The sequence below is a fragment of the Homo sapiens genome, chromosome 5 (genome assembly GCF_000001405.40).
Source record: "Homo sapiens chromosome 5, GRCh38.p14 Primary Assembly".
Taxonomy (NCBI): domain Eukaryota; kingdom Metazoa; phylum Chordata; class Mammalia; order Primates; family Hominidae; genus Homo; species Homo sapiens.
In genome coordinates this window covers 16441103-16466910 of record NC_000005.10, presented here as the reverse complement: position 1 = coordinate 16466910, position 25808 = coordinate 16441103, and the positions used below count along the sequence as shown (strand labels likewise).

Genomic DNA, 25808 nt, shown 5'->3' with positions numbered 1-25808 from the left:
GATCTCGGCTCACCACAACCTCCGCCTCCCGGGTTCAAGCGATTCTCCTGCCTCAACCTCCCAAGTAGCTGGGATTACAGGTCTGCGCCACTGCGCCGGGACTAATTTTTGTATTTTTTAGCAGAGACTGGGTTTCGCCATGTTGGCCAGGCTGGTCTTGAACCCCTGACCTCAGATGATCCGCCCGCCTCGGCCTCGCAAAGTGCTGGGATTACGGGCGTGAGCCACCGCGCCTGGCCTGAAGTTCTTTTCTACAGAACTTTGCTGTCCTATATACATGAGGGTACACAGCCAACTGGGCACCTGGCACGGGTCTAGTCCAAATTGAGATGGGCTGTTAACTCTAAAACACACACTGGATTTCCAAGACTTAGAACCAACGACAGAGCGTAAAAGATCTAATTAATTCTTTTAGACTGATTACATGCTGAAATGACAGGATGGGCTAAATTAAACACATTAAAAGCAGTTTCACCGATTTCTCTTTACTCTTTAAAAATGTGGCTGCTATTAGAATTACCTACGTGGCTTGGACTGTGTGTCTACAGGGAGCTCCTCTCGCGCACTCTGTGCACTCAAATTCCGCCGGTGTCCTCCGCCGGAAGGGCCGCCTCAGAAAGGCCGAGCCCCCGGCCTGGCTTCTCCGGTTTCCCGGGAAAGCGTTGCAACCACGGGCGAGGGCTCCGAGGTCGGCCCCGAGGGGTAAGGGCAGCCCTTGCCTTCGCGACATCCATTCACCCGGCTCCGCAGGTGCAGCGCGCGGTCCTCAGAGAAACCCCGACCCTCGCGTCGCTGACCCGACCATTCATTAATCGGGGGCTTCCCAGGGCCCAGGAGCAGCCTCGGGCGCCCCACTCCCCCATTCTCGCGTAGCCGTCCCCTTGACCGCGTCACACCGAGCGGCACAACCACCAGGGAAGGTAACTGGGAGGGCGCGACCTCCCTCAATCAACAGCCACCTCGGGCTGACTGAGCGGACCCAGGTCCCTTTCAGCCACAGCGTTCCCTCGGCTTCCTGGGCCTCACGGCGGCGGAGGCGTGGCCACAGCCTGAGAGGCGGGTTTCCTGTCCAGTTGTGAATAACTTCCGACGTGTGCCGGAAGTTTCCTCAGTGACAATCAGGAAGTCGGCGTGTCGAGTGGCTCTTCCTGGCTGCTGAGGCGGGTTAAGGTCTGAGGGTCTTGTGGGGCCACGGCGCTGATCACCAGGTGTTTGGCTTGGTCGGTTCTTATTTCTCGCCTGGCAATGGCGACGTACACCTGCATAACTTGCCGGGTGGCGTTCCGCGACGCGGACATGCAGCGGGCCCACTATAAGACGGACTGGCACCGCTACAACCTGCGGCGGAAGGTGGCCAGCATGGCCCCAGTGACCGCCGAGGGCTTCCAGGAGCGAGTGCGGGCGCAGCGGGCCGTCGCGGAGGAGGAGAGCAAGGGCTCGGCCACCTACTGCACCGTTTGCAGTAAGAAGTTTGCCTCTTTCAACGCCTACGAGAACCACCTCAAGTCCCGGCGTCACGTTGAGCTGGAGAAGAAGGCCGTGCAGGCAGTGAATCGGAAAGTGGAGATGATGAATGAAAAGAACTTGGAGAAAGGACTGGGCGTGGACAGTGTGGACAAGGATGCCATGAACGCGGCCATCCAGCAGGCCATCAAGGCCCAGCCGTCCATGTCTCCCAAGAAGGCGCCCCCAGCGCCTGCAAAGGAGGCCAGGAATGTCGTGGCCGTGGGTACTGGTGGCCGTGGGACCCACGACCGAGACCCGAGTGAGAAACCACCCCGGCTCCAGTGGTTTGAACAGCAGGCGAAGAAGTTGGCAAAGCAGCAGGAGGAGGACAGCGAGGAGGAGGAAGAGGACCTGGATGGAGACGGTGATGGCCCTGTCTGGGCGGGGAGGGTAAAGAGGAACTTGGCCCACCCTTAAGTTTCCAGATTTATACTCGAGATGGGTGTGTGTGTGTGTTTGAGAGCTTTTAAGTAAAAATGATGAGGGAAGGTGGTTTAGACGCTTTCTGAAGTGCCTTATCTGGCCAGCAGGTTTGGCTGTTTAGTTCACTCAATTCATTCTCCAAGGCCTAAAACCTTGTCTGGAAAAAGAAGTGCTTAATGCATATTTGGAGAATGAATTGATGCCTTCTGTGTTTTGGATGAAGAGGCTTTTAACATATGCACAGGAGGACATGCTATCGTCATACCAGCTGCCGTGTAATTTGCGATTCTAGTGGGTTTCCAGTTATGATGGTTTTGCACTTAATTTAGTTGAGTAAAACAGAATGAGGGGATCAAAACCAACTCAGCCAGAAATTTGGAGCTGGAGCCAGCACCCTCACCTCTTTGCCTTTATGAGCTATTTATTCCTTACTTCCCTCATCCCACATCCTATTAACAGTGCTGGTGTAGGTGTTCATGTCTTAGTCTGTCCACTCTGCTATAAGGAAGTACTAGAGACTGGGTGATTTATGAACAACATAAATGTATTTTCCCATAGTTCTGGAAATTGGGAAGTCCAAAATCAAGGTGCTGGCAGAGTCAGTGTCTGGTGAGGGCCTGTTCTATAGATGAAGTTTTCTCATGGTGTCATCATGTGGTGGAAGAAGCAGAAGGCAAAAAAGGGGCTAGCCAGTTCCCTCGCACTAATCCATTTATTCAGGATTAGTGCTTGCCTAACCTAATCACCCACTAAAGGCCCCACCTCTTAATGCCATTTCATTGATGATTAAGTTTCAACATTTGAATTTTGGGAGGGAAACATGCATTCAAACCATAGCCGTTCATAGAGCACCCTACCAGCACATACACACACCCCATAGTACTTTTGTGAAATAGTAGATAGAGGCATTGTTTTAGAAGTTTATAAAAATATCCAGGCAGGTAGGAGACTTCCTAACTATATTTTCAGCACTGGGCTAGGTGCTGTAAGGCATAGGAAAGAAACAAAGAAAAGATTCCTGTTTCCTGGAAAAGAAAGACTAAGGAGTTTCATGGCCATTCAGATGAGTCTGTGGTAAACAAATAGCTAAAATTGAGATCTTGAAAGAGGAGTTGTCCTTGGGAGTTGGGGTGTGGCTGTTTCTCCAAATATAGGACTGTATCACCTCGTGAATTTTTGTGATATCTTTGCTTGCTACTACTTTTCTTAAACTTTATATTTCAAAATTCTGGCTTGCAGATTGGGAAGATATTGATTCTGATGAAGAATTGGAATGTGAGGATACTGAAGCAATGGACGATGTGGTGGAGCAGGATGCAGAGGAGGAAGAGGCTGAGGAAGGCCCACCCCTTGGTGCCATCCCTATCACGGACTGCTTATTTTGTTCCCATCATTCCAGCTCGCTGATGAAGAATGTGGCTCACATGACCAAAGACCACAGTTTCTTTATTCCTGATATAGAATATCTTTCAGATATTAAGGGACTGATTAAATACTTGGGTAAGTACAATAGTTTTCCTTTTAATGAGGAAATAATCACATTATTGGGGGACTGGTCTCAAGGGAACATTAGTTTTGCATTTTTCATCAATCTTTGATATAATTGCTTGGTTATTTTGTGAATGATTTTTGAGTTTTGGTGACAAATAGTGAGATTTAATCTGGTTGCAAAAAGCTTTTTTCATATTTTTTCCTTAAATTATTTTTCTAGGAGAGAAAGTTGGTGTTGGCAAGATTTGCTTGTGGTGCAACGAGAAAGGGAAGTCCTTCTACTCCACAGAAGCTGTACAGGCACATATGAATGACAAAAGCCACTGTAAGCTCTTCACAGATGGCGATGCTGCTTTGGAATTTGCAGACTTCTATGATTTTAGGTAAGCATAGTTTGTAATATGAAGTAAAGTGAGGTCATATTTGCTTTGAAGTGATTATTAGGTGTGCCAGTGCTGGATATGTTTGGCACTGTACAACATATCCTTAATAACACTTATAACACCTCTGTATTAGGTAGTTCTTTCTTTGTAGTTGAGAAACTCAGTTTAACAGAGTTTAACACATCTAGTGAAGAGAAGACCTTAGACCCAGACTGAAGTTTGACTTGTTTTTGTTTTTGTTCTGGTTAAAACATCAAGAGTTCAGTTTTGCCAGTTACCCCTTGAACAGAGGTACAGAAATTAGGTTTCACATATTGGGTTCCTGGAGAGTCCTTGCATCACCAGCTGTCTCCTGAAGGAGTTGAGACAGTTGCTAAACCAGGCCCAAACCAGGCATCTGATGGTGAGATTACCCCATTGGTGGTTCACCCCTAACTAGAATCTTTTTTTTTCTCTGAGAAAGATTTTTGCTGTCACCCAGGCTGGAGGACAGTGGCACAATCATGGCCTACTGCAGCCTCAGCTTCCCTGAGCTCAGATGATCCTCCCACCACAGCCTCCCCAGCAGCTAGTGTGCACCAATATGCCCTGCTAATTTTTGTACTTTTTGTAGAGATGGGGTTTCGCCATGTTACCCAGGCTGGTCTTGAACTCCTAGACCCAAGTGATCCACCCACCTCAGTCTCCCAAAGTGCTGGGATTACAGGTGTGAGATACCATGCCCGGCCCTAACTAGAATCTTGAATTTTTTTGTATGTCATTTAGCAAATGTATGTTAAGTACTTGTGAACAACTAGTTGTCAAAATTCCTGTGAGCTAGCACAGGAGATAAGCAGATGTGTATAATTACCATGCCAGGCATGCATAGACCAAGTGATACCATGTTCAGAAAAGTCTCAGTCTTTTAAGTCTTCCTTTTGCATTTTCTCCCTGATTTCTCATTTTGCAGCTGGAGACTTGCAGTTGGTGGACATGACTGGGTGGAGGTAGAGGGGAGGATTAGAGGCTGTGGCAGTAGAGAAGACAATGAATGTCTGCTGGTGGTGGGAAGCATCCTCTTTCAGTATTTATCCCTCTCAAGTTTCCTTTTAGACAGCAGTGTTTATGACCTTTTGACTGATGTTGTAATCAGAGTGGTCAAAGCAAATACCATGGATAGTTAAGCAGCTGCCATCAGCAGTAGGCTTGGAATGCCCAGCACTCAGTCTCTCATCCTGTGGTTATATTCAGAATCCTACCCAGTCTCATAGATTTCAATATCTTCTGTAGGCCCGTGACCCCCACATTTATATCTCTAGTATAGCCTTCCCCTCAGCTGTAAACTGAAGATATCCAGCTGCCTCCTTGATATTTCTACTTGTGTCCAAAAGGAATCATTAACTTAACCTGTCCAAAATCAACTCCTGCTATGCATCCTAGTCTGCTCTCTGTAAGTAAATGGCATCTCTGTCCTTCTAGTTACTTAAGCCAAATGCCATGCAGTCTTCCTTTATTCTTCTATTTTCTTTCATGCTTACATTAGAATCGATCACCAAATTCTGCTTTATCTGCTTTTGCACTATCTATCTTCAGAGGCTGACTGCTTCTCACTACTTCTATGGCTACTACCCAGGTCCAGGGCACCATCATCTTTCGCCTGACTTCCTACAGTAGCCTCCTGCTGCCTGGTCTCCATATTTACATCCTTACTACCCACTATGTTCTATTCTCAAAACTGTAACTAGGGGGATCCTTTTAAAACATTAAGTGAGGTCAAACTCTGCTCAGATTCTTTCAAAGACTACCTATCTTACTCAAAGTAAAAGCCAAAGTATAATGGCCTGCAAGGCCCTGCACATAGTGTGGAGCATCTGTGGTTCTGTGGTTTTGTATTAGTTGCTCTCTGGATTCCTAACTATTCCTCTAATGCATCAAGTGTGTTTCTCAAGACCTTTGCATTTGCTGCTGTATTTGTTTATAGTATTCGCTTAGATATTCACTTGACTTGTCCCTCACTTCTTGCAGGCCTTGACATAAATTTCACCTTCTCAGTGTGGCCTTTTTTGACCACCTTCCATAAAATAACACCTACCCAATCCTTTTTATCCTGTTTTATTTTTCCTTATATCCCCTACTGCCATTGTGTGTATTGTATATTATTTATTGTCTCCTCCTTCTAGAATCTAAGCTTCAAGCCCTAGCCTTTTGTTGTTGTTACTCTTGTTCTTTACTGGGTGTTGCTTAAACCGTTAGTTTGAATTAAAATATGTAACTGATGGAAACGGTTCTCCCTTAGTCCAGATGATGTATTTTTCATTCCATTTACAGTTTTATTCTGTTGGTGCCTAGAAATGAGAAATTATATGAACTTTTCTTCCTAAAAATGAATATTAAATGATTTGTTTGTCTTAAAAAAATAAAAGTCAGCCAAGTGTGGTGGCATGAGCCTGTAGTACCAGCTGCTTAGGAGGCTGAGGTAAGAGGATCACCAGAGGCCAGGAGTTTCAGGCCAGCCTAGGTGACACAGTGAGACCCTGTCTCTAGGGGAAAAAAAGGAAAAAAAAAAAAGTTGATAATGCTTAATAAAGAAAACTTGGAAAATAGAAAGCCTTTACATACAAAGCTAGTGTTTATGGAGTGCTTACCTGCCAGACACTGTTCTAATAAGCATTTTATGTGGATTCACTCAGCTAAAAAATGACAAATTACCTAAATTTCACTCCCCTTCACAAGGTAACTTGTTTACTTATTTTGGACCTGAAACTTTTTATTGAAGAATAAACTTACAGAAAAGTGCATATATGTATACAGCTGGCCCTCTGTAGTCATAGATTCTCCATCTGTGCATCCAAACTAAAGTATTCGAAAAAAATTTTGTCCATACTGAACATGCACAGACTTATTTTTCTTGTCATTATTCCCTAAACGTTTAGTACTGTGTAACAACTATTTACATAGCATTTACAATGTATTAGGTATTAATAAGTAATATAGAGATGATTTAAAGTATGCAATGATTTAGGTTATATGCAAATGTTATACCATTTTATATCAGGGACTGGAACATCTGCAAATTTTAGTATCCTAGGGAGGTCCTGGAAGCAATCCCCCATGGATACCAAGGGATGACCGTACTTGTGATATCATGATTCAGTGTAGTGAAATTTTAAATATAACTAGCACCTAGATCAAGAAACAGCATGTTAATAATACCCTGACATTTCCCTTGTGTGTCCTTCCAGAAACTACCCCTCCTTTCTCCAAGAGTAACTACTATTCTGACTTATAGCTGCATAGATTGGTTTTGCCTGTTTTTATACTTTATATAAATGGAATCACAAAGAATGTACTCTTGGGTGTGGCTTCTTTTGCTCAACTTTATGTTTGGGAGACCCATTCATACTATTTTATATAGCTGTGGAGAGTTCTTACTGTTACAGAGTGTTCTGTTCAGTGCTCCACAACATCTAGTCTACTGTTGATACACATTTGAGTGGTTTCTAATTTGGGGCTATTACAAACAATGCTGCCACATCATTCTAATGTGTCTTTGGCAAATGTTTATAGGTTATCTGTTGTGTGTATATGTAGGAGTTGGGCCAGAGGATATACATATGTTCCATTTTAGAAAATACTGTCAAATTGGTTTCCAAAGTGGTTTTCTATACTCCCACTTGTAGTGAGGGAGAGTTTTTCATCTTAGCAACTTTGGTGGGTGTGTAGTGGCTTTAATTTGCATCTCCCTGATGATGATTACTGCAATCAAGAGGCTTTTTGCATATTCATTGGCCATTTGGATATCTTTTTGTGAGGTATCTGATCAAGCATTTTGTCTATTTTCTTATTAGGTTGTCTGGTTTACTGTTAATAATTTAATGTACACTTTTCCAATTATTTTTTCATGTGTATCTATGAATAGCCTTTGTCAACATTTTTAGGAATATAGAGATTCTTGTGGAACTGCACTGTCCAATATAGTAATTACTGGGTATACCCATATAGCTATTTAAATAAATTGGAAGTTTAATTAAAAATTTAAACATTCAGTTCTTCAGTCAGACTACCTGCATTTCAAAGTTCTGTGCTGGAAAGCTCATGTGATTGCAGTTACTGTATCAGACACAAAGACATATTGATAGAACGTTTTCTGTCATCACAGAGTTCTGTTGGACAGCACTGTTCTATAATTTGTTTTTATAGTGGTTAAATTGAGTATAGCTGCATGTCCAGCTGTACATTCTCCTTCTTCTCTGTTAGACAGCCTTTCTAGGGAAAAACAAATAGAATTCTGTTATATGTCATTTGCTCATTTCTACTACAGACAAAATGCTAACGAGTTGTTTTCTCCCAAAACCTTTTAGCTGGTAGTTCCTACAGCTGCTTCCTCCCCTCTCCCTTTTAGGTAGCTTAGGAAGTTTGCCACATTTGCAAATGAGTTTATGTCTTTTAGTTCAATTTGAGATATTAGTCTATTTATTAGTGCAATTTCTCTGTTATAGGAGTAGCTATCCAGATCACAAGGAAGGGGAGGACCCCAATAAGGCTGAGGAGTTGCCCTCAGAAAAGAACTTGGAATATGATGATGAAACCATGGAATTGATTCTGCCTTCTGGTAAGTGCATTTGTCAAAAATAAATAGCTTAATGCCAGTGGGATTGAGGGAGAAGCATATCTCCATCAATTACTTTCCATACTGAGGGAAATAGACCATAAGCTTAAAGTATATGTTTGGGTTCTCATGTACGGTGTAAACCCTGAAGGTTGCTGCTCAGCTCTAAGTTGCCTGTTTTGTTTAAATTTGATCAGTGTTTCTGTTCATTTCTGGGTTATGATTCAGAATGTTTGATCAGGCATTTCTTTTTTTTTTTTTTTTAGATGTAGACCTTTTCTATTCTGTTCTTTATTTATTTATCTTTTTTGGTCCTGTCTAGGTTTCTCCTGTTAATTGTAACCTTACTGTTATTCTTTGAACTGATTCCTGTTTCCTTTTGTTGCTCAGACTTCCAAATGGTAGTTTGGTGTGGGTGTATCTGACTCATGGTGGAAATTTAGCCACCATGAGGTATGAAAAGATGAAGAATAACCATGAATGTGAGAAGCATACATGGTTGTTTATTGTGTAGGAAGAAAGAATCGTGATTAACTGATAAGAATAGGAGAAGCTACAGAAGACATGTTTGAGAAATGAAAGGGGATGGAAAGGTAGAGATGATAATAAGATCTTAATGTCTGGTATTTACTGAGCAGTTAGCACATTCAGGCAGATGTATTTGTCTTTATAGGCCAACGTGAGTTAGATTCCAGCATCTTCATTTTACATATGAAGCTTAGAGAGGCTGAGTAACTTACCAGGATCACATGCCTAATCAGCAAAGCCTTTTTCCAATATCTGTATACTGCCTTGGGAGATTTGCAGTAACGGTGCAGGCAGGAACAACACACCCTGCTGGTGGAGAGGTCCGCAATGAAGCAGCCTTGTCTTATGGCTTTCCACATAGAATGTCACTGCTTAGGTACAGATGACTATCTTTAGCTCAGAATGATAACCCTGTAAGGCCAAGAGCAGCTTTAGAGTGTGGCAATAGGAGGAAAGGTCAGGCAGAACCTATTTTGAAGATGACAGTTCTTTCTACAGTGATAAGAAGGTTATAATGCAATATATTATTATGGCCTATCTAATACACAGTGGTAAAACCTAAATCCCAGAGAACCTTTTCTAGTCTTTCTCTGGTGACAGTACCCATATAGAACATCAGAAATATGTTTAATAACTTATTTTCCAGAACTGTATGTTTGACTTGTTGTCTCCTTAGCTTCTGCTTCTTAAACGGTAGAATCAGATAACCATAGACCTTAAGTAAATTGAATAAGACAATCCTAGTACAGCAGTGTCTGCCGTGTAGTAGGATCACTATAGTGTTTGCTTCATTTTGCATCTACTTTAGCACAATATATTACAAACCTTAGCATAACGTGAGCATATCTATTCAAGAAATCTAGGATGTTTCAGAGAAGTTTTCATCTAGACTTTAAATTTTTGAAACTTATAAAAAATAAAGAATCCTCAGCTTTGTCCTGGGTGACTGAGTTTTTTAAGGTATCTAAAAAGATACCCATTTTGACCGCCAAAGCCAAGCCCATTTTTGGCTTTGGCTAGCCTTAGAAAGATCTTAGAGAGATCTTCCTCTCCCACATCCAGATGGCTTAGTAACTCCTAAATGTCTTTTGAGTATTTTTGAGTATTTTTTTTTTTGTATTCATTTATCTGTGTCACCATTATACCCTCCTGTCTGGTCATCTCTAATCTGGTTTCCACATGACCACCAAAACATTCTTTCTAAAACACCAGTAGATTTTCTTTACCCTCTGTAGTTCCTCCACTGGGAGCCATTGCCTTTAGGGTAACTTTGAGTTTCTCTCGCTTCTGGTCCCTCAGGTGTGTAGTGCTATTCCTCTACCCCACCCACATACAGTTCTCTTCCTCTGGGTGTTTACATGTGTGGTGCCTCTTTTATTCCTACTTTTCTTGTAAGATTCAACTTATTTAGATTCAACCCTCTGGGAAGGCTTCCTGAACTCATCTTCTGTCCATTTACTGGGTAACAAGAGTCTCTCCCCTGCTGCTGGGACACTAAATCTAGTTACTCAGATTGGACTTCAGTAAAATCAAGCAGGCTATCTCAAAGCTAATGACAAAAAGTATCCACTAGAGGGCACTGTGAGCATTTATTTTGAAGATTGTGGTCTGGCAAGGTTTTTTTGGGTTTCCTTCGTTGCTCTTCAGCTCTTTTGGAGTAAGTTGGTATGAAAGGCCCATTCAATTGGATGTCAGAAATTGTAAGGCCGTTTGTTAAGAAGGAGTGGACATTAGCCTGGTGTGATGGTGTGTGCCTATAGTCTCAGCTAAGGCAGGAGGATCACTTGAGCCCAGGAAGTCAAGAGTCACAAGGCTGCAGTGAGTCATGATCACGCCACTGCACTCCAGCCTGGGTGATAGAACAATATGCTGTCTCCTAAAAACAAAAAAAGAAAAAAAGGAGTGGATGGTCTATAAGTGGCTACTGCTGTGTCAAAAGCTAGATGGACAGGTCGCATGCTTCACCATGACTTAGACATAACCAATCCCTTATTTATTGGGCAGTCACCCTGTGTTCTAGAAAATACTTTTCCTTGATGAGGGCCTTCAAGTGTAGCTGTCCTTAGCCCATCATACGTGGTGCTAATATCAGGTGGTCACTGTCATTGGCACAGGGTAGGGGGAGCTCTGAATGCTATTTTCAGTTCCTTCTTACCAGCTGTTGGAAACCTTGGCATTGAGTAATGAAGCCATTTCAAAGACGCTTTAAAAGGCCAACGTGCTGTAGGATGTGTTTCCACATGTTGCTTAAGAATATAAGTATATTGAATTCTTATGTACTAATGACCAACATTATCACCTTGCAAACCTGGAGCGTCCAGACCTAACGTTACAAATAGAACATCACAGTGAACAATGCTGGAATTTCCTGTAGACCCTCCATTTAAGCTTGTGTTTTATCCATCAACTACATCTCACCTATTTCCTGTGGTCTAAGAGCTTTGTTAACTCTTATGCTGTCAAAACAGTCAGGTTTAGGGAAAATGTTTTTATCCACACTAGTATCCAAAGACCATGTCTTTGAATCGAAAGCTTCTTTTTGTCATCTCTTGAGTATGATGATAAAACAAGCAACTGAAAGTAACTACTTTTCCATATCTGTGTATCAAGCAAATTATTTTCCAGTTATTTTGGCAGGTATAGGGACTTAAAATAACCAAAATAATTTTCTTATGCAAATTGAAAGTCTGGATCCTAAAAGCAAATACAGACTTCCACAATATTTATAGTATCTGGTTCATGGTCTTTTTACACAAAAGATTCTGAAAGAAATGGCTTTACCTAGGTAAATATAAATCTTTCCTGGAAACCGTACACAGGGTTCTACCTAGCCAACTATCCTTTATTCATTTTCAGTGGAAATGGCTTTTTCGTGCCTTATGTATATGCTGTTGTTAAATATCTGCATGGTTATGTCTGTCTGGGAAGATATTTGATTACTTTTGTCCTAATTAATATTCTTGTGAAAGGATAGTGTGTATTTAGTAAGCTTTTAGGTAATGCTGATGACACTGGCTTTGCAATGCTGATGACCACCTTTGGAGAGCCACTGCTCTGAGGGAGCCTGGAATTAGTCATCTCTAAACCCAGCCCCCTTCAGGTCATCTCCCTTGAACTTATGACACATGGGTTGGGACATTTTCCCTAGAAAGGGCCAGAGGTGATCGTTTAGGCTTTGTGTGCAATTCTGTCTCTGCAGCAGCTTCCCACCTCTGCTGTTGTAGCAAGCACCAAAGCATCGAGAGATAATACCTACACAGTTGAGCGTGGCTGTGTGGCAGTAAAACAAACCAAAACAGGCGGTTGGCCAGATTTGGTTCTCTGGCTGTAGTTTGCCACCCCTAGATTAATATATCAGATGTGCCTCACCCTTAAATAAGAACCTTGAATTGTTCCTCCAGTAGATATCTTTACTTACCTCAGGTTTTTATTATTCCAGCTACAGAATTTCCAATTGGTGGCCAATACCTTTGTCCCATAGTTTTTTTTTTTTTTTTTTTTTTGGAGACGGAGTCTTGCTGTGTTGCCCAGGCTGGAGTGCAGTGGTATGATCTTGGCTCACCGCAAGCTCCGCCTCCCGGGTTCACACCATTCTCCTGCCTCAGCCTCCCGAGTAGCTGGGACTACAGGTGCCCACCACCACGCCCGGCTAATTTTTTTGTGCTTTTAGTAGAGATGGGGTTTCACCGTGTTAGCCAGGATGGTCTCGATCTCCTGACCTCGTGATCCGTCCACCTAGGACTCCCAAAGTGCTGGGATTACAGGCGTGAGCCACCGCACCCGGCCCTGTCCCATAGTTTTTTTATTTGAAATATTCAGAGTCTATTTTCTTTTTTCTCACTCTGTTACAAGTTAGTGGGCCTATGAGATAATGAGATATACAATCGTGTTGTAATAACATCAGCATACTTTGAAAATTAAATTTAGAAATTCATTTCTGAAAGCATGATTGACTCACATAGTTTTACCAGATCCTACTAAATAAGCAAAAGCTATAGACAGAATTCAACTTAATCACCTTTTAAAATTCATATTCACCAGGTGATTTCCATCATTTAGGAAGCAATAGGTCAGGGTTACTCAGCCTTGGCACTATTGACATTTTGGACTGAATAATTCTTTGTTATGGGGGGCTGTCCTGTGCATGTAAAGATGTTTAATAGCATCTCTGGCCTCTACCCACTAGGTGCCAGTAGTACCCCTCTAGCTGTAACAACCAAAAATGTGTTCAGTCAGTGCCCAATGTCCCTTGCTGGATAAAATCCCCATTGGAGAATCACTGCAATAGAGAGTTTAAGCAAAGGAAAGGTGGATTGATTTCTATTTTAGATCCTGACTGTGGCTTGTAGTCCCAAACATCAGAACTGCTCTCTGTGCTTAATCTTCTTCATATATATATATATATATATATATATATATATATATATATATAATTTTTATTTATTTATATATATAAAACGCTAAAAATCTCTTATCTCCTAGGCCCCTATTATCTGTATTAGTAGGGGTTTCTATGTGAATTTTTGGGGAGGCATATTGTATGCAAGTAAGTACACAATGCTAAGTTTTTCACTTAACAGTGACTTGTCATTTTCTTTTTAAAAAATCTATTGTTTGGTTTTCTTTTTGTTGCATGCTTGCTTTCTTTCACTTTTTATTTTTATTTTACATGCTGCTTCATCTGTCTTTAGTAGATAGAACAACTGTTTCTTCTGGTACATCGATTTTCCATCTAGATATACTAAAAGATCTGATTTGGAAAGCCCTTGCTTTATAGCTCTGCCTTGAAAAAACTATCCAACTCAGTGTTTCAGTATTGCTCTTTTGAAAAACAGGTGCCAGAGTGGGTCATCGCTCCTTGATGAGATACTACAAACAGCGATTTGGCTTGTCAAGAGCTGTGGCAGTTGCCAAAAATCGGAAGGCCGTGGGCCGAGTACTTCAGCAGTACAGAGCCCTGGGATGGACTGGCAGCACAGGTACATTGATCTTTACAACTACAGACCAGTCTGAGAACTTGTATTTCTAGAAGGGGTCTGGGGAAAGTTGTTTCCATTTATGTTGTCCATGTGGATTCTCTCTAGGGGAAACGTAACGTCTTGGCTCCAGGGACTTCCATTACCACTTGATATGTTTAAGGCAATAAGCCCAAAGTGCTATGACTTAGAAATTTCATATTCCTGGCACAGTGATTTTATATACCATTAACTTTTTCAGAAGATAATAGTTACAAAAAGAATTATTTAGTAATCACCAAAGGTTGAAATTATCCTGGAGGTTATGCAGAGGAATTAGATAGTATCCTAGTGGTTAATAGCTTGAGCTGTGGAGTCAGACGTGACTTATGTGATGTACTTAGAGGTTCTTATATGATGAACATGAGTAATTTAATTAATATAAGCTTCTGTTTCCTCATTTATAAAACAGAGATGATAGTAATAAGACCTACCTCTTAGAGTTGAGTGGGTTGAATGTCATGCATGTGTGATATAGTGCATGCCCATAGTCGAGGTTAGCTATCAGTCCCCTTTTTTGTAATTTTCCCATAGAAAATTTAGCAAAAGTTAGAAGAGTAAAGCATGCCACTGCAATTGTTGAGTTTTGAAACCTCATCAGTATGGTACTCTTTACATCTATTCTGATGTGTCTGCTGGATGAAGCTGGTTATATCCTTAGATCTTCAGGGAAAGCATCTATCCAACTGAGGACTGTGGAGAAAATAAGAGGCGGGCTGCCTTCTGATGGCCTGGGAAGCTCTAGGCAACTAAAATCCATTTGAAAAGGCACTGTGTTTATATGTGGTTTCCTTCACTGTGGCTGCTTGTGAGCTGTGTGGCCACTTGAATCTGGCAGAGACTTGACTTCATCTTACTCTTATCAGGAAGTATTGTCTGACTCGATATATAGCTTCTGCCTTTCTGATTAATGGGGCTTTACCTTTTGGGCTTATAAACTCTTCCAGATGATGAAAACTAAAGCTACTAATCCCAGATAAGTGTATATATACAAAAGTTCTGGTATGCAATTCTGGAGTCCACAGAGACCCCTGAGGCGCATGGCTTAGAGACCCCAAGTTAGCAACTCTGTTTTAAATACAAGAACCTAGTTACCCCAAACTAACCTTTTGAATTCTCTGCCAAGGTTGGATTTTCTCTGATCACAAATAACAGAACTTTGCCTAATTTCTTAACTGCCTTCCAATCATAGGAGCGGCTCTTATGCGAGAGCGAGACATGCAGTATGTCCAAAGGATGAAATCAAAATGGATGCTGAAGACAGGAATGAAGAACAATGCCACCAAGCAGATGCACTTTCGGGTCCAAGTGAGATTCTGAGAGTCTGCTGGGATTGAGCAATCATCTCCTGCCCAAGTTTCCTCCTTGCCCTGAGGACCAGTGAAAGACAGATCATAGGAGAGACCCTTTTGCTGCTACTTCATTCGTTCTGACCTAATAATAAAAGTTAGAACCATATGAGTTTTCAGATGTCGTTTTTGAATAGTGTTGAAAGGTTATGTTTTCACAAGGTAAGTCCTGTGTCTACTGGACCCTGGGACTTGCACTGCTGCCTGACAGTTGCTTCATCGCCTCAGCTTTAAATGATTTATGATTGTCAGAGTAATGTGAGGAATCAGGAATGACTTGTGTGCCCCAAACTTAGTTTAACTTTGAGAGTAACTCACCATGTCATGGCACTGGGACCTATGTAAGGGGGCTTGAAGGCTTATGTAGGGGCAAAGTTGAATGTCACTCATGGAATGTATCATGGTACAGGAGGTACTGAATATCTCTGGGCGCTTGCATTAAATCCAGGCTAAGTTAAAAAGCACATCAATAGCTTGCTGTAAAGGTTTTATATTTCTAAACATGACTGCACAGAGTGACTACTGTGTAGTCTGATGCAGTTTCCAGTGGTGCAGTTAGTCTAGGAGGAAAGTAAAGGTAAAATGCTTAGGTATCATTTTAGAAAGACTACCTCAGGGTCAAATCTTGGGAGAAATTCTCAGGTTAGGTGGCTTAGAGGAAGGCACTGATATAGTGAAAATGAAGCTAAACATGAAGTTCAAATCCATTGAGTTATCTTTGTGACCTTGGAAAAGTGACTTGGCTTTTTAAATCTGTAAAATGGAGGTGTTTATTATCTCACAGGCTGTTGGGGTTAAATAAATCTGCTAAAGGACCCAACACTCATTGAGTCCCTGGCAGAGTTAGTGCTTAAAGTTCTCTTTTACAGAGCAAATATACCACACTGAGTAAGGCATGGTGAGTTTTAGTCAGTGCAGTATACTGAGTGGTGGGTTCAAGCATGCCAGGAGAATGTGGTTGCCCTCACGGTGTATTAACCAGACCTCATTTGCTAGACATAGGTCTTTTTCTTTAAACTTTGGATGCAGAGTTGAATTAATTACATCCCATTGGTGCCCAGGTTCCCTATTATCCAACAATGAGGACTCCTTGGTTTTAATTTTGCTCCTTCAATCCTGTTTTCTACCATTCTCCCCACAGAAGGACCCAATCTGTTGTGTTTGACACACCTTTAAATCTATAGCCTGAGAAAATGGTGTAGTGCTTTGCATGTGGTATGTTTTTAATTTATGCTTAACCAAATGTACATGATACTGTGTTATAGTTCTTCTCAGTTTCGTTTTTCATTCAACATTTTTTCACTCCACATCTAGCAGTGTCTAGTTCATTACTTCTGACTGCTGCCTGGTATTCTATAGTGTGCGTCTACCACACCTTCCTTACTGCTTTCTCTAGAGCTGACACCTTGATTGCCTTCAACTCCACATCACCATACCAGCTAGCACTGTTAATGCATACCTCACTTATATACATGAATATATATAAATATACATTTATGTCGTCTTTTGTCATCTCTTTTATCCGGTGAGGGGCATGGGAGGCAATGAGAACAGCATGTTTACTGACCTGTAAAATACTAATACTATCTCTGTTTATTTCATTTTTGAGACAGGGTCTTGCTGTGTCTCCCAGGCTGGGTGCAGTGGAGTGATCACTGCTTACTGCAGCCTCGACCCCATGGGCTAAAGTGATCTTTCCACCTCAGCCTCCCTGGTAGCTGGGACTACAGGTCTGTACCACCATGCCTGACTAATTTTTTTTTTTTTTTTTGCAGAGAGAGAGTCTCACTATGTTGCCCAGGCTGGTTTTGAATTCCTGGGCTGAAGCAATCCTCATGCCTCAGCCTCCCAAAGTGCTGGGATTATAGGCGTGAACCACCACGCCCAGCCTCTTCATTTATTTAATTAGCTACTTCTTCCAGGCTTCAGGAGACACCTTAGTTCTGATTTTGGGTTTGTGGAACAATCCATTGTCTCACTTCTATCCACACTGTAATTTTATAAAATTCAATTTATTTGCTTTTCTGGAGTAGAATTCTATTTGCAGGATGGAGGATGGAGGGGGGCCCAGCAAACAAAAAGAGATTTAAACCTTATCTCCTGATAGTTAAGTGAACGAGACAGGAAACATGACAAATGGACTTGTTATTTTGGGGGAGCCTCTTGGTGGTACAAGAAAATGTGGAGATGTCTTTGATATTTTATTTGCTTGTTGTTCCTTTGGGGTGTGTTTATCTTTCTTTCTCTAGGTGCACTCTGTTCCCCACTCTGTTTTCTGTATTAGGATTTTTTGGGCTTCCTGGTCCATTCACACATAGTCATTTACCATCAGTTCTCCCTGTTTTGGTGTTTTCACAGCTACATGATCCTTTTCTGGTATCTTATGCCTATCACACTGGAGAAGTGAACACATGCATGTGGGCTGAACCTGCCAAACAAAGATCCAAGTGTAAAGCCTAGGGAATGCTTCTGTTCTTACATTTCTCTACCCTCACTGTGGTATTGACATAGCGCTTTTGTTCCTCCAATTTTTAAAAAATTTTTGTGGGTGCACAGCAGGTGTATATGTTTATGGGGTACTTGAGATGTTTTGATACAGGCGTGACATCATTATTTCTTCAAATTTTTATCCTCCACATTTCTTTTTGATGAAAAGAGCTAATCTGTATTGACCTACACCCCCCGTCCTGCCACAGTACCTATTGTCCTTAAAACAGTTATCTAAACTTACAGTGGATGCCAGAGTCGTCATGTTAAAGGTTCTTCTTCGGCTGGGTGCAGTGGCTCACGCCTATAATCCCAGCACTTTGGGAGGCCGAGGCAGGCCGATCACGAGGTCAGGAGATCGAGACCATCCTGGCTAACACGGTGAAACCCCGTCTCTACTGAAAATACACAAAATTAGCTGGGCGAGGTGGCAGGTGCCTGTAGTCCCAGCTACTTGGGAGGTTGAGGCAGGAGAATGGCGTGAACCCTGGAGGCGAAGCTTGCAGTGAGCCGAGATCGCGCCACTGCACTCCAGCCTGGGTGACAGAGTGAGACTCCATCTCAAACAAAAGCAAACAAAAAAAAAAGGTTCTTAGTGAGTACCAAGCCAGCGCTGGCTGCTGCAGCTGGCTGCCAGCAACTTGTGTGGAGCCTTTCCTCCTGGGAGGCATTGCAGGACCAGATGGTGCCGGCAAGTGTTTGTCAGTCTTTACCTTGAGACATCAAGACTGGGATCAAAAGTGAGAGAACATAATCTTGTCCCTTTCCATGCATGTTACAGAAACCCCTAGCTGCCTTTGCTGCCTGTCTACAGACTGGACAGTGTTGATTTAATCTTTCTGCTTTGTGTTTTACTGAGTATAAAGTGCCGTTTTATGATTCTCCACTGTGGGGTATATGTAGTATTCCTATTTTACAGATGAGGAAATAGAGGAGTTCAGTAACTTTTTAAAGGAGACACAAAAGGAAGCCAGAGGTGACAATTTCTTGTTCTGCATTTTTTCTTTTTTTTTTTTTGAGACAGAGTCTCGCTCTGTCACCGAGGCTGGAGTGCAGTGGTGCAATCTCGGCTCACAGCAACCTCTACCTCCTGGGTTCAAGCAATTCTTCTGCCCCAGCCTCCCAAGTAGCTGGGACTACAGGCATGCACCACCACGCCTGGCTAATTTTTGTATTTTTAGTAGAGACAGGGTTTTGCCATGTTGGCCAGGCTGGTCTTGAACTCCTGATCTCAAGTGATCTGCCCACCTCAGCCTCCCAAAGTGTCCTGCATTCTTAATATTGCAGCACACCTGTGCAGTGTCTTCAGCGTCATCCCAGCCTAAGGAGCACACTTGGGGAGAAGGTGGGGCTATAAAAATGTACTCAAGTCCACTAGATTTGCAGCAGCTGTGCAAAAATCTCATTTTAAATCCGAAAATACATACAATCTTACATTTACATTAATACATGAAAAAATATCACCTTTTCTTCCCTAGAAGGTGATCAAAATTTGCCCCAATTTTGGTTATTTGTGGAGTCTTCATTGTTAAGCTGTTTTCCTCCACCTTGATTATCATTTCTAAACTCTGTTAAGATCTCATTGAACATTATTAATTTGGAATTCACAATAATTCATATGTGGGAGTCCAGGTAAGAGCTGTGTTGCCAACTTTCAATGTGCAGTCATTTTTGCAAGAGAATTGCTGGCAGTCCTAGAGAAATTTGTAAGTGCTTAGAAGAATACATGTCATTTAATTCAGACTAATTTGCAATTGGCACATTAGTTATTTATGACACAGAAATTCATGGAGATTAAGATTTGATTAGCTTGTTAATGCTGCAAACAGTTAAAATTTTAGAATAATTATTTATTTATTGTTTGTGAGGCACACTTGTTCCCCTAATCTGTTCTCTCCTCGTGCATGTGGCTTACCAGGCAGCAACTGTTTCCCAGCCCCGCCTCCAGCAAGGCGTGGTCATGTGACTAAGTTTGGACCAGTGGTTGTGCACAGAGGCAATGGATGCAACTTGACTACAGATCCTCACAACTCTGAGATAAGCTGCTTTTCTACTCGCTGCCTGTTTTTCCTCTCCCGAGCTGGAAGTAAGGTGCACCAGTGTTACCCATGCAGATAAGGACTATACCTCAGGGAATGGCAGAGCAATAGTATGGAAGGACATTAGGGAGGAGAGGTGCTCTGCCAACTGGAGCTGACTGGACTGTTAGTGAAATAAATTGAAGCCATTGTGTTGTGATGTTTTAGTTACAGTAACCTAGCTTATAATCTGATAGAGTAAAAATCCATGATAATGCTAATATGACCTGGCATAATTCAAATGTAGATGGAATTGGCAATTGCTGTTTCTTATCTTCCCTTTGCCCCTGTTCTCAATCTGAAGTGGGCTAATTTTTTTTTTTCTCGATGGAGTCTCACTCTGTTGCCCAGGCTGGAGTGCAGTGGCACAATCTTGGCTCACTGCATCCTCTGCCTCCTGGGTTCAAGTGATTCTCCTGCCTCAGCCTCCCAAGTAGCTGGGATTGCAGGCGCCCACCACCATGCCCAGCTAACTTCTGTATATTTAGTGGGGACAGGGTTTCACCATGTTGACCAGTCTGGTCTCGAACTCCTGACCTCAGGTGAGCCTGCCTCAGAGTGCTGGGATTACAGGTGTGAGCCACCACCCCCAGCTAGAAGTGGGCTAAATTCTTACACAGGGTTGGTTTTGGGGACAGTTAGGAAGTGCTTGCTTCATGATCATTCGGGACTTTCTCAGGTCAATATTTTCAATATTGTCCCTTTTATTAATTTATTTTGGAGACTATACAGACAGAAAAATAATATTTTTCTTTCCCTCATATGGCAACTTCACAACATGCCCGCTAATTCTTTGACATTCCTTCCCTGGAGAGGTAGGGTCTGTCTCCCCTTGATGTTGGGCTGCTCTTTATTACTTGTTCATATCCAATTAAATGCAGCAGAAGTACAATTCAGCTCCCAGTTGGCTTCCTTGGACTCTCGACCAGTGTAAGGAGTCTGACGCCCCCAGGAAGTCATGCTATGTAGGATCCCAGGCCATATGGAGAGATCACATGTAGGCTCTCTGTTTGATGTCCCAGCTAAAGTCTCAGTCAACATCTAGCACCAATTTCCAGCACCTGAGGGCACCATCTTGCATGTCCAGCCCAGTTGAGCCTTCAGATGACTGCTGCCCCCACCAACTCATGGCAATCCTGGAACAGACCCAAGCAAGAACTATCTAGAAGAGGCCTTCCAAAATTCGTGACCCATAGAATCCATGAGCATAATGAAATAGTTTTACAACACTAACTTTATGCAGCAATAGTACCTGGAACACCTCACTATTACACCATCACATATGTTACATGGTTGAATCTTGGATTCCACTTAAACACCTTGTGGTGGAGCTTTCCCGTCAATGTTGTTTTAAGCGCAAGGACTTTACATACATTATAATACCTTATTTAATCATCACAGCACACCTAAGAAGTAGATACAATTATTATTCCCGCTTTACAGCTCAGGAATATTGGGTGTAACAGCCCAAGGTCACACTGCTCTTAATTACTGTGCTTTCTATTGTCAGTGCTGGAAAATGAGAGGCTCCAGGAGTCAGAATTTTAGACTTTCATGACATACTTGAACTGACCTCAGTCAATTCCCTCCTATTGTGGTTACACAGCAGAATCTGGGCATAAGGAAATTCAGCCATGGTATGCATTAGTAATTGACAGAGTAAGGTAGAAACGTATTTCTCTAAGTGTGTGTGCTAGCCACTGTGCTGCTCTGCAAAGTCAAACCGTTTTCAACTCCTTAAAAAATTCTTTGGTATAAACTGTTACTTACTGAGTAAGCACGATGCATTTCTTTAGAGGAAAAGAATGAATCTATATTTAGCATATACCTAAACCTATATTAAAAGCATTAAAACTATATTCAAGAATACATTTATTTAAGAATCTGTGCTTTAAAAAAACCTACATTTTTGATTTCATTGAATAAGACTTCTAAGTTGTGAATTGAAAGCATTCGGTTTTATTATTAATCACCACTTTTGGTATTCCAATCTCATATACCATTCTTACTTGGGGTAACGTGTCTCAGACATGTTGCCCAACCCTAGTTTACTCATTTTCTAAACAGCATCGGCAAATGTGGAAAATGAGACGACTTATAAAGGTGAGAGATTTTAGCTTTTCTAAAAAGATTTTTCTAATGCTTAGTGCCAGAGAATGAGAATATTAAATTGGCAGTAAATAGAGTAAATGGAAACTATTTTAACATTTATGCTTGAAACATGACTTCAGTTCCAAGACGTTTTTTCTTTTTCTAATTCAAGTAAATGAAACCTATTTGGATAATTCAGTAATTTATTCTTTTTATTCATCTTGAATATTGGGGGATTTTCCCTAGAAATAAACACAAATATATAGAGTAGGTAACAATTTGGTAACATAAAATCTAAAACAAAGAGCTTATTCAGTGATGGATATTGTTGTATGCGATTTACATGTGCAAACTCATTGAGTCCTCACAACTCTAGGAGGTAGATAATATATTATCCCCATTTTGTAGGTGGGGAAACTAAGGCATAAAGAAACTTCCATAGTTACTAAGTAGCAAAATTGGGGTATGAATTCAGGTAGTTAGGATTCTAGGTCTGCACTCTTCACACTGCACTAGCAGTTCTTTAATTTTTGGGCCTCAGATCCCTTTCACACTCTTTAAAGTACTGAGGACTCTGATGAGCTTCGTTTTTGTTGGTTGCATTTATTGATATATATATATATGGTATTAGAAATTAAGAAGGAGAAAATTAAAAAATGTTTAACTCATTTAAAAGTAATAAAACCATTGCATGTTAACCTTAATATATTTTTATAAAAAACAACGATATTTCCTTAAAAAAAAAAAACTATAGTGAGATGAGTGGGGTTTTTTTTTGGTTACATTTTTGCAAATTTCTTTAATGTCCAGCTTAACAGGAAACAACTGGATTTTCATATCTGCTTCTGCATTCAATCTGTTGTATAATACATGTCATGCCAACCCTGGAAACTACATAGTCTTCTGATAGGAGAACAAAGGCGAAACAGGCAAATAACATATAATTATTATTACAAAAAATGCTTTGGCTTTGCAAAGCCCCTGAAAGGGTCTTAGGGACATCCAGGCATCCTGAGATCATACTTTGAGAATTATGGCACTACACTTTACTGCCTGTAGGTACACAGGGAGAATGTCTTGGTTGAATTTTAAGTGTTCCTTAAGAAACAGTGTTTCTTCAAGTAAATCCCAGCCTGCTGTGGTAGAAGGAGCAGAGGCTGAGTAGCCAGAGACTGGGGTGCAACCCTAGTTCTGTGCATGGGAGTTCTTGACCTTCACTAAGTTCTCTCCATGTCAGGTTCCTTATCTTTAAAATGAGGCTCATTACCAATCCCTTCCAGGGTCATCCCAGGCTTTCCAAAAAATATGTGATAAGGTGCCTAACAGGTGCTGACACAAGAGGATGTCTGACCAAGTGTAGTTTTTATTTCAGATAGACTAATGATGGCCAGGGAGGAAGGAGAGGGGCCATGACCAACAAAAAGGGAAGGAGAAGAGAGCCACCAAGGACAGATCCACAGACTCCCAGCTAGAAGCCTTTCAAGCCAGGTGTTTAGAGACTCAGATGTTCGGACTTTTAGGAATTTATTGGGGTGCATATACTGTAGATACTGTCAGAGCTCCATAAGACTTGGAGGACCATCTGATAATCAAACACATTTATACTTCTAGAGAGGGACATATTCCACTCATACCGAGGCCTAGAAATAGCCTTCTCTCTGGCCAGATTTTGATGCCAAAGGATTTACAAAAAATATTTCAGTGTTCAGAACTCCGGGATTTGGGACTGTAGATGAGGAATTGTGGACCTTATTGGGCTTCTGTGCCAGCACCAAGCTAGGGATTGTGCCCACGCCCTTTCATTTCATCCTTTCAACTCCATGAGCAAGAAGCAGACATCTAAGGATCTAGAGAGATCTTTGCCTAGTATCTGCCTTGCAATCAACTTTAGAGGACCTCAGGGTTGGAGCAGTGGCTTCTGGCTTTCTGATTATGGCTGTTGCCTGCAATTTAAAGTCCTAATGTTCATTTTGTTTGAAGAGGGATGGAGGAGGAGTTAGACACATGGAATGTGTGTGTGTGTGTGTGTGTGTGTGTGTGTGTGTGTGTGTGTGTGTGTGTGTGTTTCAAGATGAACTCAATAGCATCAACAAATAATGAGGGTTCAGAAAGTTTATATTTAACTTGTTGAAAATCCACCTAGCTATGAGCCTAATTTCCTGAAGAATAAATGTAAGGTGAGATGATATGTTTTGGATACCAATAAGATCCAGTACCTGCTACGTTTATAGGGATAGAAATTGAACAAATGGCAACATTTCAAAATCTGCCAAAAAGAGCCCCAACTGATTGTTTTCATGTTTATAATCTCCAACTTACAGAATTTCACAGAGGAACAAGCCGTAAAGTTGCCTGAAGATAAGTCCTGGCTATGAATTAATGTTGAACAACATGAAAAGATTACAGGTACTTGGAAATAAACTTCTGAGGAACTCATCAGAATTTCAAATTATGCAAGTATTATGATAATACTTGAGAATCTCAAAATCATTTCAACTATCAATTTCTGTGGGATTTTATAATAATTTGCAGCTTCAATGACAAAATAATTTAAAATGATGTTTTCTAACTCTACCTACACAATTATTCTGACTTTATAGGAAATAAATTACATTTATTTGGACATCTGTACATGTCACACACATTAATAGGTATTTTGTTGATTCCAACTTAAATACTTACATATTTCAAAATTGTAACCTCTTTAAGTTTGTCACTGTCACAAACTTGGCTTCATGGTACTTCAAATGTCCTCTCCCCAGCCAAAAAGCAGAAAATGTTGTCTGTTAAAAGGCAGGGAAGTAGAAAAATAACTTTTTATAATACCTGTCTCCAGTTAAGTAGATATGGCTGCTCTAGTGAGTTGAGAGGACTTGATTTTTCTCCTTTCTCCTCCCCTCCCCTCCTCTCCCCTTCCCTTCTTCCTTCCTTACGTTCTTCCTTCCTTCTCTTCTTCCTTCCTTCCTTTATTCTTTCCTTCCTCTTTCTTGTTATTTTACCCTTCAAAAGTGGGTTTTAAAGTTTCTATATACAATAAATCACTGCTACTTTATTGCGTTTATCATCTAGAATTCCTTCAGGAACCACAATTACAATCGCAACAATTAGTTGAACCCAAGGCTTCTCCCAGGATTCCTGGTAACTAGGGTGTGTCAGTAAAGCTGGGCTCATGGATGCCTATCTGACACGCTTACTGTGGACATGAACTCAACCACTGCACATGCTTGTAGTGGATGCGGTGGTGTGCAGCCCCGATCTCCCCTCCAGGACTCAGGCACTCATTCGCCCAGCTGCCAGGAGTGCTGGCTTTTGTTGTCTCACAAATGAGTCTGTCTTTGGGAATCCCTCCCTTAGCAGAAGAGAGCTGCCCTGCCCAAGGCCCTACCCCTTCTGCAGTTGGGGTTTGGGGGGCAGCACGCATCCTGTGGCTGGCTGGCCCCTTGCCTTGTCTAGACAACTCTGACAGCAGTCCATGGGATTGCTGAAGGCCTTTACTGCAACAGAATCATAATTCAATTTCTCCCTCTATGGAATCCTTTTTCTCTTCTTTATGGGTATTGATCCTAAAAGCACTCCCCAGTAAAAGTCCTGCATGTATATCTCCACCTCAGACCCTATTTCTCAGGTAAGCATTCCTAAAACCACTGGTGCTAGGAATGGTCCGAGGAAGGAGACTCTAAAATGGAATCTGGAACTGGGTCACCAGCTGACCAGCCAGCAGGGAGGACACCATAACTAGGGGTGGGTGGGTGGATTACCTACAGCCCCTGGCAGGCTGTAACTATGCAATTGTTGCAACAGTCACTGTGATGTAACTGCTGGAAGGCAATGCATTGGTAAGTCTAGTATCCGAGATATCTAGGGGTCCA

At 41.7% G+C, this 25808-nt stretch overlaps 1 protein-coding gene across 1 annotated transcript, besides 1 other annotated feature; it reads left to right on the top strand.

Annotated features, from left to right (window-relative positions):
* Window positions 1111-15392, top strand: ZNF622 (zinc finger protein 622). The gene is made up of 6 exons (NM_033414.3): window positions 1111-1870; window positions 3169-3429; window positions 3641-3803; window positions 8282-8394; window positions 13755-13898; window positions 15127-15392. The coding sequence occupies exons 1-6, from the start codon at window positions 1246-1248 to the stop codon at window positions 15252-15254; spliced, it is 1434 nt and encodes a 477-aa protein (NP_219482.1). The 5' UTR covers window positions 1111-1245; the 3' UTR covers window positions 15255-15392.
* Window positions 1734-1803: an enhancer, noted in NCBI's record as "active region_22421". NCBI's record gives its function as "activates an Ori minimal core promoter by ATAC-STARR-seq in GM12878 lymphoblastoid cells {active_cell/tissue: GM12878}" and the evidence as "EXISTENCE:reporter gene assay evidence [ECO:0000049][PMID:35858748]".
* Window positions 15393-25808: the final 10416 nt, after the last annotated feature.

Excerpts from the sequence above, each read along its gene's own strand:
- ZNF622 (NM_033414.3), top strand. The coding sequence starts at position 1,246 with ATGGCGACGTACACCTGCATAACTTGCCGGGTGGCGTTCCGCGACGCG. Across the intron at positions 3,430-3,640 it reads GGGACTGATTAAATACTTGG|GAGAGAAAGTTGGTGTTGGC; the intron begins GTAAGTACAATA and ends TTATTTTTCTAG. Across the intron at positions 3,804-8,281 it reads GCAGACTTCTATGATTTTAG|GAGTAGCTATCCAGATCACA; the intron begins GTAAGCATAGTT and ends TCTCTGTTATAG.